This window comes from Homo sapiens, chromosome 12 (genome assembly GCF_000001405.40).
Source record: "Homo sapiens chromosome 12, GRCh38.p14 Primary Assembly".
NCBI classification, from domain to species: domain Eukaryota; kingdom Metazoa; phylum Chordata; class Mammalia; order Primates; family Hominidae; genus Homo; species Homo sapiens.
The window spans coordinates 57,355,785-57,374,707 of record NC_000012.12 but is presented as its reverse complement, the minus strand read 5'-3'; the positions used below and the strand labels follow the sequence as shown (position 1 = coordinate 57,374,707).

The 18,923-nt window shown below is 41.6% G+C and overlaps 1 protein-coding gene across 40 annotated transcripts in view, besides 1 other annotated feature; it reads left to right on the top strand.

The window, feature by feature from the left end:
* The window catches only part of R3HDM2 (R3H domain containing 2), a 177,378-nt gene that overhangs the window by 56,434 nt on the left and 102,021 nt on the right, over nt 1-18,923 (top strand). The window lies entirely within an intron of this gene.
* Nucleotides 2,088-2,382: a silencer, noted in NCBI's record as "tiled region #7317; HepG2 Repressive non-DNase unmatched - State 23:Low". NCBI's record gives its function as "represses a minimal TATA promoter and a strong SV40 promoter by Sharpr-MPRA in HepG2 cells {active_cell/tissue: HepG2}" and the evidence as "EXISTENCE:reporter gene assay evidence [ECO:0000049][PMID:27701403]".

Genomic DNA, 18,923 nt, shown 5'->3' with positions numbered 1-18,923 from the left:
TTTTTTTTTTTTTTTTTTTTTTTTAAGATAGAATTTCTCTCTTTTTGCCCAGGCTGGGGTGCAATGGCGTGATCTTGGCTCACTGCAACCTCCGCCTCCTGGGTTCAAGTAATTCTCCTGCCTCAGCCTCCCAAGTAGCTGGGATTACAGATACCTGCCACCATGCCTGGCTAATTTTTTGTATTTTTAGTAGAGACAGGGTTTTACCATGTTGGCCAGGCTGGTCTCGAACTCCTGACCTCAGGCTGCCTTGACCTCCCAAAGTGCTGGGATTACAGACGTGAGCCACCACGCCCGGCCTGGTCTGGTCATTCTTGTCATTCTCAAGATAACAGTTTTATGATTGACTGTCCAGCCACACACTATTCATCAGACTTCATACTTTTTTTTGAGATGGTCTCACTCCCATTGCCCAGGCTGGAGTACAGTGGCACGATCACGGGTCCCTGTAATCTCGACCTCCCCAGCCTCAGGTGATTCTCCCACCTCAGCCTTCTGAGTAGCTGGGACTGCAGCTCATTATTACATCGTATTTTCATTGTTAAGAGTGGGCAGGGACCATATTTTTTTGTTTTGTTTTGAGACAGAGTCTTGCTCTGGCACCCAGGCTGGAGTGCAGTGGTGCGATCTCATCTCACTGCAACCTCTGTCTCCTGGGTTCAAGCAATTCTCCTACCTTAGCCTCCCGAGTAGCTGGGATTACAGGTGCCCGTCACCACCCCCAGCTGATTTTTGTGTTTTTAGTAGAGGCGGGGTTTCACCATGTTGGCCAGGCTGGTCCTGAAGTCCTGACCTCAGATGATCTGCCCACCTCGGCCTCCCAAAGTGCTAGGATTGCAGGCATGAGCCACCACGCCCTTATTATTATTATTATTTATTTATTTATTTATTTTTGAGAAGGAGTTTTGCTCTTGTTGCCCAGACTGGAGTGCAATGGTGCGATCTCAGCTCACCCCAACCTCTGCCTCCTGGGTTCAAGTGATTCTTTTGCCTTAGCCTTCCAAGTAGCTGGGATTACAAATAGGCATGCGCCACCACCCCCCGCTAAGTTTGTATTTTTAGTAGAGACAGGATGTCTCCATGTTGTTCAGGCTGGTCTCAAACTCCCGACCTCAGGTGATCTGCCCACCTCGGCCTCCCAAAGTGCTGGGATTACAGGTGTGAGCCACTGTGCCCAGCCTCTATTATTATTATTACATTTTTTTTTGTGAGACGGAGTCTTGCTCTGTCACCCAGGCTGGAGTGCAGTGGCGCGATCTTGGCTCACTGCAAGCTCCGCCTCTGGGGTCATGCCATTCTCCTGCCTCAGCCTCCTTAGTAGCTGGTACTACAGGCGCCCGCCACCACGCCCGGCTAATTTTTTGTATTTTTAGTAGAGACGGGGTTTCACCATGCTAGCCAGGAAGATCTCAATCTCCTGACCTCGTGATCCACCTGCATTGGCCTCCCAAAGTGCTGAGATTACAGGCGTGAGCCACCGCGCCCGGCTTGTTATTACTGTTTTTAGAGACAGAGTCTTGCTTTGTCATCCAGGTTGAAGTGCAGCAGCACAGTCATAGCTTACTGCAGCCTCAAACTCCTTGGCTCAAGTGATTCTCTCACCTCATCCTCCCAAGTAGCTAGGACTACAGGCACGTGCCACCATGTCCAGCTAATTTTTTGTAGAGATGGGGGTCTCACTACATTGCCCAGGCTAGTATCAATCTCCTGGCCTCAAGCGATCCTCCCACTTTGGCCTCCTGCCAAAGGGCTGGGATTACAGGCACAAGCCCCCATGCTTGGCCAGAGTTGGAGTTTAATTTAAATCTGGGAAGACCATAATCATGGATTTTGTTCAGTTTTCAAGCTACCCTTTTTATTGATTGGTGTGACTCTTGTGTTTGCATGTGTTGACTTGTAGGATCTATTAGAGGTGGAAAAAGGAATAGCAAAATATTGAGTGCTATCTCAGTACTAGAGGCATAATTAGTAGAAGTCTAAATTGATGTTAGACCTAGAATTTGGTGGTGTGGAAAATCGAGTTTTAATCCCTTATTTTTTAAAAAACATATCTTCCTATGTCATTTAGATTTGCTTTCTCTATCATAACTGCTCTTTCCAAATAGTACCATTGTTTATTAGCTCTCTTGTTATCAGATTTGCCAAATTCCTGAAAAATATTTGATTTTTGAGGAAGTACATTAGAGTTTGGCATTTGGTTTGCGTGCCAATTTCAGCAGCACCCTTTATTGCAAAGAGCTTGGGAATTTGTTGACAGAAATCCATTTTCTCTGTGACTCCTGATTCCCCCCACACCCCCGCCCCAAGGCTTTCTAGCCTGTGGTCTATTTTTAAATCCTGCTGCTGTGCTCTGTATTGCGGCAGTTCTTTTCCTGAATTATTTATCATTGTTGGGAGCTGAATGGAGCACTATGTTTTTTCACCACTGCTCATTAGGACCCACGTGTCTGTCTTCAACTTGGATGACATACCTGGTTCATGTTAAATCCCACTGGTCCATCCTGGGAAGGCTTTGAGATAATATAAGAACAGGCCACAGTTGGCTGGGTGCAGTGGCTCACACCTGTAATCCCAGCACTTTGAGAGTCCAAGGTGGGTGGATCACCTGAGGTCAGGAGTTCAAGACCAGCCTGACCAATGTGGAGAAACCTCATCTCTACTAAAAATAAAAAATTAGCCCGGTGTGTTGGTGCATGCCTGCAATCCCACCTACTTGGGAGGCTGAGGCAGGAGAATCGCTTGAACCCGGGAGGCGGAGGTTATAGTGAGCCGAGACCGCACCATTGCACTCCAGCCTGGGCAACAAGAGCGAAACTCCGTCTCAAAATTAAACAACAACAACAAAAAAGGACAATCTATGATATGTTGTAAAATCATTCGGACTTTTGGATTACTGTTATTTTGTTTCAGCAGCAGTGGGACAGAGAGAAGCTATGCCATATCCTTCCCTTAGACTATGCTCAAAGATATTATGTTATACTGGCTTTTCTGATGATATTTACTTTTTGTTTTTATAGTTGTTGCATTGATGTTACTCATTTAGGAAAGGTGAAAGAGAAATCCCTATGAGAAGCACAATGTTAAATCAAGATTCATTTTAGTTATAAATATGACCTGGATATTTGGAGATATCTTGAAATTCTCTGTTTTGGGGGTTTGGGTTGTGGGGGATTGGCTTGTTTTGTTTGGGAGTATTTCTTCTCATTGCCTGTCTTCTTATCTTACTACAGACTATAGGCTTGGAAGAAGAATGACAAAACCTAAGCACAAGGCAGTTATCTTGAATGATATTTCTTACCTTTTCTGTTTTGCAGGACATCAGAACTGATGTTTCTTTTTTGTTTTCGTTCTATTTTTTTCTGCATCCTGTCTTTCATGAAAATATTTTTCTCTCCCTTGATATCACTGCTTTTTTCTTTTTGATATATGAATACACAGCTACTCCTGTGTTCTTTACTTCTTTAAACAGTTAACCCTTTTATGTTACTGTAGGCAGAAAAAGGGTAGCTGTTAATCATTTAGGCACTGAAGAGGGTAAAACTTTGTTTGCCTGCCCTAGTTTGTTGGGTGTCTCTGAGTTTGTGTGTGTATCTTAAAAAAAAAAAAAAAAAAAAAAAAAAAAAAGTAATGGTATATATTTGGTTCCCATTCTTGGAGTAATGATGAAATATTTTTATATTTTGAACCAGAACAAATTTTGGTCTTCTGTTGCTGCTTCTAATCAGTTCTACTGGCCCAGAAACTGGCATATCACTGCTCAGTGATTTCTTTTATTATCATTCCATTCATTCCCCTGTAACAGTGGCTCTCGGTTGCATAAATCCCATATTTCTCAGCAGCTTATATCATCTTTGCTCACTGACTGCTGTCCTGACATTAGCTTGTTTCTTTGGACTGTGTCAACTAAGTCAAACTAGACTAAATTTACTATTTTTCCCTTGTGCTTTTTCTCCCTTCTTAGTTATCTTGCCCTCTGTATTAGTCCATTTTCACACTGCTATAAACATACTACCTGAGACTGGGTAATTTATCAAAGAAAGAGGTTTATTTTATTTTATTTTTCTTTTGAGATGGAGTTTCGCTCTTGTTGCCCAGGCTGGAGTGCAATGGCGCGATCTTGGCTCACCGCAACCTCCACCTCCCGGGTTCAAGCAATTCTCCTGCCTCAGCCTCCCGAGTAGCTGGGATTACAGGCATGCACCACCATGCCTGGCTAATTTTGTATTTTTAGTAGAGATGGGGTTTTTCCATGTTGGTCAGGCTGGTCTTGAACTCCCGACCTCAGGTGATCCACCCCGCCCCCCCCCCCCGGGCCTCCCAAAGTGCTGTGATTAGAGGCATGAGCCACTGTGCCCAGTAAGGTTTAATTGGCTCACAGGAAGTTCCGCGTGCCTGGGGAGGCCTCAGGAAACTTACTGTCATGGTGGAAAGGGAAGCAGGCATGTATGTCTTCGCGAGTGCAAGCAGGGGAAATTCCAGACGCTTATGTATTAAAACCATCAGATCTTGTGAGAACTCACTCACTAGCATGAGAACAGCGGGGGGAACCGCCCCCGTGATCCAATAAGCCTCCCTCCCTCACACATGTGGGGATTATAATTCAAGATGAGATTTGGGTGGGGACACAGAGCCAAACCATAGCACCCTCTCTTTGCTATTACTCCTTGAAAAAGCCAGTTGAAAATTAACATTTTTTAGGAAACTTTCTATGATTTAGGCTATCAAATTCTTATTAATTTATATGTGCTATTTTGTATTTATTTAACCTTCTGTTTTGAAGGTGCTTATAATTTAAAGCATAGTCCCTGCACTCAAAGAGTTATCTTAGGAGAAACTAAGAAATGAATTGACTTCTTTTTCTTTTATTACTTTGAATTTCTGTTGCTTTTAAATTTCATATATATATTTTTAAATTCCAGATTTCAATAGTAAGGGCAACAGCAAGGATCTTGTTTCCCGTGAAATCTTACGAACTGTTCCTACTGCCCTCATCCATCTTACCATGGGGCAGACTTGTTGGATGATAGGGTAATAGTGTAGGAAAGAGGGATCTTAGGTGTTGGGGATTTTCTGTTTTGTGCCTTTTCGAATGGTAAAAATTCTAAGTATTTATAGTCTTACTTGAAATTACATTTTGGAGACTAAAATGACACAAACTACAAATTGAATGTACAAAAAAAGACATGCTAGATTTCTGAAATAGCCATCCAAGTTTTCGCTGCATAACAAAGTTAGTGCTTATTTATTACTGGCATGCTAGAACGGTGGCTTACTTGAGCTAAAGTCTGTCCCTGATGGCCTGATGATGTAGTTTTACACCCTTAATAAAATTGAGTTCGCATCAGTTTACAATGAAAGTCTTTTAGGTGACTTTCAGAACCAGAATCACATATCATCTGCAGAGCTGTTAACCTCATTTTCCAAATTCCTATGACACTTTTCACAAGAGTTATGTTTGCCCCAGAGATCTTAATTCAGAACTAGGGTCCTTCACCTTTTAAGAGGTGGAGCTACATGTGATTTTCCTGACACTTGAGATCATTTGATGGTGTTAAGATGCTGGGGTAGGGGTTGGAAGTGGGAAATGGGAGAGTGGGGGTAGGTGACAAGAAAGTTCTTGAGTAAAGGCTAGGAGGAAAACTATCTGAGGTTACTTATTTGCCTAATCCTTCTATATTAGAATTAGGAGATGTAAATTAGTCTCCAGATCACTTGTGTTGCCTTCTTAGTCCCACCGTAGCCATGACAGACAAATTCTCAGCCCTCGCCCTGCTGACTGTGTGCAAAGTTAGAGAACAGCCCCCAAATCCACCCCCCACTTTTGGAACTGCAGAGTTTGGGGGGGTCCGCAAGATCACCCTCGGGTTCAATAGTTTACTAGAACGACTCACAGAACTCACTAAAGCTATTATACTTACAGTGAAGGGAGACAGACTAAAATCACCCAAGAGAAGAGATATATGGGCAAAGTCCAGGAGGGTTTCAGATGCTGAGCTTCCAGTTTTCCTTTCCCAGTGGAGTCATGGATAGTGTAACTCCTCCTGTCAGTGGTGTGTGGTAATACACATGGAGTATTGCCAACCAAGGAGGCTACGTAAGCCTTGATGTCGTGAATTTTTACTGGGGCTCCATCACATAGATATAATTGGCCAAGTGGCTGACCTCAGTCTCCAGCCCTTCCTGAGGTTGAGTTGATAGTATGTAACCTAAAGTCCCTACCATAAATCATATTGGTAGACTTATCTGTCATGGCTTAAGTCCCCTAGTAAATCATTATCAAGAGGATATTCAAAGAGTTTAACATTACTTCCTAAGAGCTAAGGGCAAATGCCAGACCTCTCTTTGGGCAAGGTTAAATTCTTTACTACATACCGTGCTAGTTGAAGTGTTAGGCCTAACTAAGAGGAAGGGGAAGGGGACTAGTTTGGAGTTTTTTGAACTAAGAAAATGTATTTTCTGCTTAAAAAGTTAAATATATATATATACACATTGAATTTTTTTTAAAAAGTAGATCCAAGTTGATAGAGCTTCCAGGCACCTGAGAGATGCAAACTCAGATCATCCCTGGTGGAATATACCTCAACCCTGGCTTCAAAGAATTCTTAAAGATAGATTACCAACATATGTGAGCTTATAATAGTAACCAAAAAACCAAAAAAAAAATCACAAAAGAAACACGGTTCTGTGAACCAGCATCAACAGAAACAACTGAATCAGACCCAGAGAAACTTTAGGTATTGGAATTATTGAATATAGAACATAAAATAAATATATTTAATGAAATAGAAAAGTAAATAAAGACCAAGAATAAGAAATGAGAGAATAAAGCAAGACTGGTTGGTTTGTAAAATAAGCAATTAAATTATTTTAGAAATAAAAAAATAATGATTGAAAGAAACTCAGTGGAGGGGAACTTACAGTTCTGGTGATAGCTGCGTAACAGGAAGCTGATTTATGCTGCTGTCTTAAGTGAATAATTGGACAAAGTATATGAAAAAATGTTTTCAGATATTGGACAAAGAGTAGCATAGAACAGTGATTCCTGAGAGAAAAGAAAGAAGTTTGAGCACTATGATTGTCCACCTTTCAGCCTGAAGAAAGTTTCTGGGTTGAAACTAGGGTTGGGAGGGATACACATACAGAGCTGGCAATCTTGAATTGAGGAGACAGAGGTAGGAATCGAGAAGCCAAGGCAGCTGGAATTGTGTGGCAGAATATTTAAGAGGAGAGAGCTTCTTAAGAAAAAGAGAGCTCTGGAAATTTGCAGAGGGTTCCCCTAAACCTACACTGTGTAATACAGTAGCCACTAGCTACATGTGGATATTTACATAAAAATTGAGTTCCTCAGTTACACTAACTACAATTCAAATACTTAGTAGCCCCAGTTTCATCATCACAGAAAGTTCTATTGAACTTTCCTGTCATGGATGCTTTAGCTTTAGTTCACTGGTATGAGGAAACTACTCAAGGCCAGAGAAAGACTTCTGGAAAGGATTAGTTGAGGAATAAAGGGCCATGAGTATTTTTTGTTTCTACTAACCAGAGTAGAAACACTTAACACCTGGGACATTGAGTAGAGTCCTTAGAAGGATATTGCCTCAGTAGTGATACCAAATTAGCTCCAGTGTAAAGGCTGTCAAAGACTAGCCTAATAAAGCATAAAAGCAAGCTTCAGAAGGATCAAACTATTTCTAAGTCACTAAGTCTCAAAACAAAGCCCAGACTGGGCGTGGTGGCTCACACCTGTAATCCCAGCACTTTGGGAGGCAAAGGCGGGCGGATCATGAGGTCAGATCGAGACCATCCTGGGTAACACAGTGAAACCCTGTCTCTACTAAAAATACAAAAAAATTACCTGGGCGTGGTGGCGGGCGCCCGTAGTCCCAGCTACTCAGGAGGCTGAGGCAGCAGAATGGCGTGAACCTGGGAGGCAGAGCTTGCAGTGAGCCAAGATCGCGCCACTGCACTCCAGCCTGGGCAACAGAGCGAGACTCTGTCTCAAAAAAAACAAAACAACAACAGCAAAAAAGCCCAAAATTAGTTAAAGGAATATTTTAAAACTAGAAACCAACAGTGTAAAATTTACATTTGGCATCTGGTCACAAATTATCAGGTATACAAAGCATCAGAGAACACAGTCCGTAATGAGGACAAAAACAGTCAATAGAAATAGACCCAGGAATGATTCAGAGAATGCATGTTAAGTAGAGACATGGAAAATATAAAAATGACCAAAATCTAACTTTTAAAAACGAAAACTGCAGTGTCTGAGATGAGAAATATAGTGCCCAGGATTTACAGCAGATCGGCACAGCAGAAGAAAAATTAGTGAACTTGAAGACATAGCAAATGAAACTTAATGCAAAATGTAATATAGAAAAAAAGGCTGGGTGTACTGGCTCATACCAACACATAATCCCAGCACTTTGGGAAACCAGGATGGGAGGATCACTTGAGCCCAGGAATTCAAGGCTGCAGTGAACCAACGTCACACCACAGCACTCCAGCCTGGGCAACAGAGAGAGAGCCTGTCTCTAAATGAAAACATAGATAGACAAAAAAATAAGTGAAGAGTGTCAGTGAGCAGTGGAACAACATCAAGCAGTCTAAAAATATGTGTAATTGGAGTCTCAGAAAAGTGGGAAGGGAGACAAATATTTGAATAAATAATGGCTTAAGTTTTTTAATTTTAGTGAAAACTGTAATCCCACAGATCTGGAAAACTCACTGAAGATTTTCTCTTCATCACTGATATATTTTGTTTTTTTTTTTGAGATGGAGTCTTGCTCTGTCGCCCAGTCTGGAGTGCAGTGTTGCAGTCTCCACTCACTGCCATCTCCACTTCCCAGGTTCAAGCAGTTCTCCTGCCTCAGCCTCCTGAGTAGCTGGGATTACAGGCACCTACCACCACGCCCAGCTAATTTTTGTATTTTTAATAGAGACGGGGTTTCACCATGTTGGCCAGGCTGGTCTCGAGCCCCTGACTTTAGGTGATCCATCTGCCTCAGCTTCCCAAAGTGCTGGGATTACAGGCATAAGCCACCGTTTCCAGCTTTATCACTGATCTTAAGCAATTTGATTATGATATTCTTTGGTAGTTCTCTTTGAGATTTTCTGTTTTGAGTTCTTTGAGCCATTTGGATCTGTGTGATCCCAACAGAAAAATCATGAAGAAAGTTATACCAAGGTGCATTTTAATCAAATTGCTTAAAACTAGTGATAAAGTCTTAAAAGCAGACAGAAAATAAAACATGTTAAATATAGAGGAACCAAGATGGGCTGAATTGAGCCCTCCTAAAATTCATATGTTAAAGCCCTAACCCTAGTACCTCAGAATATGACAGTATTTGGACAGAAGGCCATTAAAGAGGTGAATAAAATAAAATAGGAGGAGGGCCCTAATCCAATCTGACTGGTGTCCTTTTTTTTTTTTCTTTTTTTTTGGAGACAGAGTCTCACTCTGTCACCCAGGCTGGAGTGCAGTGGCATGATCTCGGCTCACTGCAACCTCCACTTCATGGGTTCAAGCGATTCTCCTGTCTCAGCCTCCCTAGTAGCTGGGATTACAGGCATGCGCCACCTTGACCAGCTAGTTTTTTTTATTTTTACTAGAGACGGGGTTTTACCATGTTGGCCGGGCTGATCTTGAACTCCTGACCTCAGGTGATCCACCTGCCTCAGCCTCCCGAAGTGCTGGGATTACAGGCATGAGCAACTGCACCTGGCCTGGTGTCCTTTTTTTTTTTTTTTTTTTTGAGATGGAGTCTCACTCTGTCACCCAGGCTGGAGTGCAGTGGTGTGATCTCGGCTCGCTGCAACCTCTGCCTCCTGGGTTCAAGTGATTCTCCTGCCTCAGCCTCCCAAATAGCTGCAACTACAGGCGCCTGCCACCACGCCCGGCTAATTTTTGTATTTTAAGTAGAGACAGGGTTTCACTATGTTGGCCAGGATGGTCTCGAACTCCTGACCTCATGATCCGCCCGCCTCGGCCTCCCAAAGTGCTGGGATTACAGGCGTGAGCCACTGCGCCCCGCCTGGTGTCCTTTTAAGAAGAGGAAATTTAGACACACAGAGGGATAGTGGGGCATGGGCATACGTGTACCAAGCAAAGATCATATGAGGACACAGTGAGATGGCCATCTGGAAGTCAAGGAGAGAGCCCTTGGGAGAAACCAAATCTGTGAACACCTTGATCTTGGACTCTTAGCATCTAGAACTGTGAGAAAATAAATTTTCTTTTTAAGACACCCAGCCTGTAGGCTAGGCGTGGTGGCTCACACCTATAATCCCAGCACTTTGGGAGGCTGAGGTTGGCAGATCACCTCAGGTCAGGAGTTTGACACCAGCCTGGCCAATGTGGTGAAACCCTGTCTCTACTAAAAATGCAAAAAAATTAGCCAGGCATGGTGATGTGCGTCTGTAATCCCAGCTACTCTGGAGGCCGACACAGGATAATTGCTTGAGCCCGGGAGGTGAAGGTTGCAGTTGACTGAGATCGCACCACTGCACTCCAACCTGGGTGACAGAGTGATACTCCATCTGAAAAAAAAAAAAAAAAAAAAAAGACACCGAGTCTGTGCTATTTTCATATGACAGCCCTAGCAAACTATTACATAAGGTAAGAATTACAGCAAACTTTTTATTAGAATCATTGCAAGCTAATGATTCTGATAACATTAAAATGCTAGATGAAAAAACCTATCAACCTAAAATTTTATATGCAGCGAAAATACCTTTCAAAATTGAAGAGGAAACTGTCCAGGATGGGCAAAACATTAGTGGCTTAGGGCTGGGAATTGGGAGAAAATAGGAAGTTCATTCTTTTGCCTTTTTTTTTTTTAAGAGATGGAGTCTTGGTTGCCCAGGCTGGAGCACAGTGGTGTGATCCTAGCTCACTACGGTCTTGAACTCAGGCTCTGACAGTCCTCCAACCTCAGCCTCCTAAGTAGCTGGGAATATAGGCACATGCCTCTACACTCAGCCTTTTTAAAAAATTGACATAATATAATAATTGTATATATTTATGGGTTACATAGTGATGATGTTTTGATACTCTAATGTGTAATGATCAGATGAGGGTAATTAGCATATCCATCTCAAATTTTATTATTTTGTTGCATTGGGACCATTTAGTATCCTCTTAGTTACTGGAAACTAAAAATTATTGTTAATTATAGTTGTGCTGCAGTGGTATAGAACATTAGAACTTATTCCTCCTATCTAGCTATAGTTTTGTATCCTTTAACAAATCTCTCCCTATACCCCATTCCTCCTACACTTAATCAGAAGTTGTTTCTAATGAGTATAAGGTTTCTTTTGGGGGTGATAAAGTGTTCTAAAATTGATTTTGATTATGGTAGTATAACTCTGAATATGCTAAAAGCCATAGAATTGTGCACTTTAAATGGGTGAATTGTATGGTATATGAATTATGTCACAATAAAAAGTGTAGATGAAATAAGGCCTTTTAAAAACATAACAAAAGCTGATAGAATTCACCACCATCAGACCACCGCTACAGAAAGTGTTATAAGACAGGAGAAAACTACACCAAATCAAAATTTAGGTAGAAATAAAATAATGCAGGCTGGGCGCAGTGGCTTATGCCTGTAATTCCAGCACTTTGGGAGGCCAAGGTGGGCGGATCACTTGAGGCCAGGAGTTTGAGACCAGCCTGGCCAACATGGTGAAACCCCATCTCTAATAAAAATACAAAAAAACTAGCTGGGCATGGTGGCATGCGCCTGTAGTCCCAGCTACTCAGGAGGCTGAGGCAGGAGAACTGCTTGAACCAGGAGGCAGAGGTTGCAGTTAGCTGACGTAGTGCCACTGCACCCCAGCCTGGCAACAGCGCAAGACTCTGTCTCAAAAAATAAAATAAAATAAAATAAAAATAAAATAATGCAGATCATCAGAAATCTGTGGAGAAAATATTATTTTATTTGGAAAAAAAATTTAAAAGATAATTGTTCAAAACAAAAATAATAAAACTTCTGTGGGGTTTATAACGTGCAGAAATAAAGTGAGTGACAGCAGTTGCCCAAAAGATTGGGAGAGGTGAAATAGTAGTACAAGGTCAAATTGGCTCTTGAACAATGTGGGGGTTAGGGGTACTGACTGCCCATGCAGTCAAAAATCCACATATAACTTTTGACTCCAGAGAAACTTAACTATTAATCGTCTACTGTTGACTAGAAGCCTTACCAGTAACATAAACAGTTCATTAACAATTCAACAGTTGATTAATAGCCTTAACAATAACCATAAACAGTTGATTAAAACATATTTTGTATATGTATTGTATACCATATTCTTGAAATGCAGTAAGTTAGAAAAAAGAAAATGTTAAGAAAATCATAAGGAAGAGAAAATACATTTACTATTAAGTGAAAGTGGATCATCGTAAAAGTCTTCATTCTTGTCTTCACATTAAGTAGGCTGAAGAGGAAGAAGAGGGGTTGGTCTTGCTGTCTCAGGGATGGAAGACGGGAGGAGGGGAAAGGAGAGGCAGGCACACTTGTTGTAACTTTACAGAAATAGTCACAATTTATGTTTGACTGTTTTGACTTTTTTTTTGAGAAAGGGTCTTATTCTGTCTCCCAGGATGGAGTGCAGTGGCACGATCTTGGCTCATTGCAACTTCTGCCTCCCAGGCTCAAGCAATCCTCCCACCTCAGCCTCCGAGTAGCTGGGACTGCAGGCCTGCTCCACCGCGCATGGCTAATTTTTGTATTTTTTGTAGATACGGGGTTTTGCCATGTTGCCCAGGCTCTTAGTGATTTTCTTAATGGTGTCTGGAAACTCATCTGTTGCTTCTTGGTTGGCAAAAGCTGCTGTTTCTGTTACCTTGACATTTTTAAAACCCAATTTCTTTCTAAAATTATGAAACCATCTTTTGCTGGCATTAAATTCTCTAGCTTTAGATCCTTCACCTTCCTTTTGCTTTAGTTGTCATATGATGACCTCTTTTTCTTGAATCATATTAGAGTCTATAGGTATGCCTTTCTTAGGTTTTTTTTTGGAGACAGTCTCACTTTGTCACCCAGGCTGGAGTGTATAATGGCACAGTCATGACACACCGCCGCAGCCTTGAACTCCTGGGCTCAAGTGGTTCTCCTGCCTCAGCCTCCTGAAAACTTGGGACCACAGGTGCATGACACCATACCCAGCTAGTTTTTAATTTTTGTAGTGACAGTGACTCGCATTGTTGGCCAGGCTAGTCTTGAACTCCCAGCCTCAAATGATCCTCCTGCCTCAGTTTCCCAAAGTGTAGGGATTACAGCCATGAGCCAGTGTGCTTGCTTTATGCCTTTTTTTTTTTTTTTTTTTTTTGAGACAGAGTTTCGTTCTTGATGCCCAGGCTGGAGTGCAATGGCGCGATCTCGACTCACTGCAACCTCCTCCTCACAGGTTCCAGCGATTCTCCTGCCTCAGCCTCCCAAGTAGCTGGGATTACAGGCATGTGCCACCATGCTCGGCTCATTTTGTATTTTTAGTAGAGATGGGGTTTCTCCGTGTTGGTCAAGCTGGTCTCAAACTCGCGACCTCAGGTGATCTGCCCACTTCGGCCTCCCAAAGTTCTGGGATTACAGGTGTGAGCCACTGTAAGAAAAGCCTATGCTTTGCTTTGCTTTGCTTTTTTTTTTTTTTTTTTTTTTTGAGACGTGTCTTGCTCTGTTGCCCAGGCTGGAGGCAGTGGTGCATCTCCGCTCACCGCAAGCTCTGCCTCCTGGGTTCAAGCCATTCTCCTGCCTCAGCCTCCCAAGTAGCTGGGACCATAGGCACCCCCCACCACGGCTGGTTAATTTTTTGTATTTTTAGTAGAGACAGGGTTTCACCGTGTTAGCCAGGATGATCTCGATCTGACCTCATGACCCGCCCGCCTCAGCCTCCCAAAATGCTGGGATTACAGGCGTGAGCCACTGCGCCCAGCGCTATGCCTTTCTTAAAGCAATCCTGCATCCATATAAAAGCCACATTTTCTTTTATTTTTTTTCTTCCTTTCCTTTCCTTTTTCCTTTCGCCTTTCCTTTTTCCTTCCCTTTCCTCTTTCCTTTCCCCTTCCCTTCCTTTTTCCTTATTCCTTTCCTTTCCTACAGTCTCTGTTGCTCAGGCTGGAGTACAGTGGCATAATGAGGGCTCACTATAGCCTCGAACTTATAGGCTGAAGCAATCTTCCCACCTTAGCTCCCTGCTTCTTGGTTTCCATGCCTGACTAATTAAAAAAAAATTTTTTTTAGAGATGGGGGTCTCACTATGTTGATCAGGCTGGCATACCTTTTTCTTAATTTTTAAAAATATTTCTGTGGTACGCAGTTTGTCTGCAAGTTTTTTTCAAATTGTTGCAAATCTCCAAAAAAATTCCCAATGTATTTACTGAGACCAGGCACAGTGGCTCATGCCTGTAATCCCAGCACTTTCAGAGGCCGAGGTGGGTCGCTCACCTGAGGTCCGGAGTTCGAGACCAGCCTAGCCAACATGGTGAAACCCTGTCTCTACTAAAAATTCAAAATTAGCCAGGCATGGTGGCGCATGCCTGTAATCCCAGCTACTAGGGAGGCTGAGGCAGGAGAATTGTTTGAGCCCAGAAGGCGGAGGTTGCAGTGATCTGAGATCACGCCACTACACTCCAGCCTGAGCGACCAAAAAAAAAAAAAAAATATATATATATATATATATGTGTGTATATATATATATATATTTATTTATTTATTTACTGAAAACAATTCACATATAAGTGGACCTGTGCAGTTCAAGCCTGTATTGTTCAAGAATCAACTGTATACTGTTTCACGATTCTTATATATGAAGTGATATATTACTTTAATATAGATTATGATAAAAGTATACACTAAATAAACCACTTCTTAAAAAAAGCAAAGAGGTGTAGCTAGTAAGCCAATAAAGGAGATAAAATTGAATCATAAGAATGCTTAATTAATCTAAAAGATGAGAGAAAAAGGAAAATGAACATATTGGACAAGTGTGGTCGATTTAAATCCAACCATATCAATAATCCCATTAAATACAAACAATCTAATCACCACTACCAATAGGTGAAAATTATCAGATTGCATCTAAAAGCACGACCCAGCCGCATGCTGTCTGCAACAAACTTTTAAATATATTTCAATACACAGACTAAAAGTAGAAGGATGAAAGACGATATACCATGCAAACACCAATTAGAAGAAATCAAGATTTTACTGTATTAATATCAAAGTAGATTTCGGAACAAAGAATATTACCATGAATATAAGCAGCTTATTTAATGATGAAAGAGGAGTTAGTTCTTCAAGAGGACTTAATGATCATAAATGTTTATACATATAGTAATAGTTCCAAATATGTGAAGCAGGTGTGGTGCATACCTATACCTAGCATTTTGGGAGGAAAAGACAGGTGGATCACTTGGGTTCAGGAGTTCAAGACCAGCTTGGGCAGCATGGCGAAACACCATCTCTACAAAAAAATAGAAAAATTAGCCAGGGGACTGGGCGCGGTGGTTCACGCCTGTAATCCCGGCACTTTGGGAGGCCGAGGTGGTTGGATCATTTGAGGTCAGGAGTTCAAGACCAGCCTGGCCAACATGTGAAACCTCGCCTCTACTAAAAATACAAAAATTAGATGGGCGTGGTGATGGGCGCCTGTAGTCCCAGCTACTCGGGAGGCTGAGGCAGGAGAATTACTTGAACCCAGGAGGTGGAGGTTGCAGTGAGCCGAGATTGCACCACTGCATTCCAGTCTGGGTGACAGAGCGAGACTCCCTCAAAAAAAAAAAAGAAAAAAATTTAGCCAGGCATGGTGGCATGTGCCTGTAGTCTCAGCTACTCGGGGTGCTGAGGTGGGAGGATAGCATAGTTGGAGATTTCAACACCACTCTCTAAATAATTGGTAGAATAAGTAAAACACAAATCAGTAATTAACCCAGTTAACACTTAACCACTCCAACAACAGCATGATACACATTCTTTACTGGTATTCATAGAATGTTTACTAAAATAGACCATATCTTGGGCCATAAAATAAGTTTCAATAAATTTAGAATTTTTTTTTTTTTTTTTGAGATGGAGTCTCATTCTGTCACCCAGGCTGGAGTGCAATGGTGCCATCTTGGCTCACTGCACTCTCCACCTTCTGGGTTCAACTGATTCTCCTGCCTAAGCCTCTGAAGTAGTTGGTACAGGTGCACAGTACCATGCCCAGCTAATTTTTTTATTTTTTTGTATTTTTGGTGGACACAGGGTTTTGCCATATTGGCCAGCCTGGTGTCAAACTCCTGGCCTCAAGTGATCCACCCAACTTGACCTCCCGAAGTACTAGGATTACAGGCGTACACTTCTCCACTTGGCCTCTATTACTAATTTCTAACTAAATCCCTTTATGACAAAACATACTTTGTGTATTTAAATCCTAAATTTGGCTGGGCGCGGTGGCTCACGCCTGTAACCCCAGCACTTTGGGAGGCCTAGGCGGGCGGATCACTTGAGATTGGGAGTTAAAGACCAGCGTGGCCAGCATGGCAAAACCCCATATCTACTAAAAATAGAAAAAAAAAAAAATTAGCTGGGCGTAGCGTCACGCGCCTGTAGTCCCAGCTACTTGGGAAGCTGAGGCAGGAGAATTGCTTGAATCTGGGAGGCAGGGGTTGAAATGATCCGAGATCGTGCCACTACACTCCAGCCTGGGTGACAGAGAGAAACTCTGTCTAAAAAAAAAAAAAGAAAAAAAGAAATGAGTAACATAACAATATCTGGAAAATCCCCAAATATTTGGAAACCTAACCACTCTGAAACTCTGTCAACAAAGAATTAATAAGGGAAATTAGAAAATGTTAACAGAATGAAAATGGGAACATGATATGGAAAAATTTGTGGGATGCAATTAATGAAGTGCTTAATGGAAGTTTATAGCATTAAATAGTTAGGAAGCAGAAAAATCTAAAATCATTGACCTTAAGAAATTAGAAAAGAAGAGCAAACTAAAAGTAAGCAAAGGAGAGGAAATTGTAAAGACCAGAGCAAAAATTAATGAACTAAAAAGCCAAAAAAAAAAAAAAAAAATCAGCAAAACTACAAGCTAGTTCTTTAAGATTGACAAAATTGAACTTTTAGCCAGACTTACTAAGAAAGGAAAAGAGAAGACACACACACCTTACCAGTATTAGGTATGTATGAGAGAGACAACATCACTGATGATTTTCCAGGCATTGAATATCATGAACCATTCCTTTTTTTTTTTTTCTTGAGATGGAATCTTGCTCTGTCGCCCAGGCTGGAGTGCAATGGCGCGATCTTGGCTCACTTCAACCACTGCCTCCTAGGTTCAAGCGATTCTCCTGCCTCAGCCTTCCAAGTAGCTGGGACTACAGGCATGTGCCACCACGCCCAGCTAAGTTTTGTATTTTTAGTAAAGATGGGGTTTTGCTATGTTGGCCAGGCTGGTCTCAAATTCCTGACCTCAGGTGATTCACCCACCTGCCTCGGCCTCCCAAAGTGCTGGGATTACAGGGGAGAGCCACCGTGCCTGGCCTATCATGAGCCATTTTATGTCAATAAATTTTACTATTTATTTATTTATTTATTTATTTATTCATTTATTTTTTGAGACAGAGTCTCGCTGTGTCGCCCAGGCTGGAGTGCAGTGACGCGATCTCGGCTCACTGCAAGCTCCGCCTCCCGGGTTCACGCCATTCTCCTGCCTCAGCCTCCCGAGTAGCTGGTACTATAGCCCGCCACCACGCCTGTCTAATTTTTGTGTTTTTAGTAGAGGTGGGGTTTCACCGTGTTACCCAGGATGGTCTCGATTTCCTGACCTCGCGATTCGCCCGCCTCGGCCTCCCAAAGCCGGATTACAGGCGTGAGCTACCACGCCCGGCCAAATTTTACTGTTTATATTAAATGGACACATTTCATGAAAGACACAAACTGCTAAAGCTCATTCAAAAAGAAACATAACCTGAATAGGTTTATGTCTACTAGAGAAATTATAGTTTAAAAACTCACCCACAGGGTCAAATGGCTTTACTGCTGAAGTCTTATCAAGAATTTAAGACATACCATTTCTACATAAACTTTTGAAGAACATAGAGGAACACTTCCCAACTCATATTATGAGCCCAACCTTACTCTGATTCCAAAACCAGATAAAGATATAAGAAAACTACAGACCAAATTTTCTTGTGTACGTGGATACAAAAATCTTTAACAAAGTTTTAGTAAATTAAAGCCAACGATATGTGAAAAGGACAATACATCATAATCAAGTAGGGTTTATCACAGAAATTCAAGGTTCATTACATTCAGAATTCAACCAATGTAATTCTCTATTAACAGACTGAAAAAATAACCTATGATCATCTTAATAGAAGCAGAAAAGCATTTGACAAAATTCAGCTTCCTTAAGAACCACTGGGTTTAAAAAAAAAAATTCAGGCTTCATTCATGTTAAAAACTCTGAATAAATGAGAAGGAAATGTCTTCAATTGGATAGAGGGCATTTATGAAAAACCCACAGCTAATATAATACTTAGTGGTAATACTGAATTCTCTGCCCCTAAGAATAAGAAAAAGGCATGGGTATTTGCTCTTACTGATTCTTTTCAACATAGTACTGATGGTTCTGGTCAGTGTACTAAGTAAGGGGGTGGGGGAAACAGTAAAAGGCATAAGATTGAAAAGGGAAAAACAGTTTTCCCACTGCAGAGGATAGCATCATGTATGTAGAGTATCATAAAATGTATAAAACTAGAAAAATTTAGGAAGGATTCAGGTTACAAAGTCAATATATAAAAGCCCATTATATGTTTATATGCTAGCAGGAGCAATCTGAAATTGACAAAACATACCATGTACAAATAGCATAAAAATATGAAATACTCAGGGCTAAATTTGACAAGACACATGCAGTACCATTGCTTATGG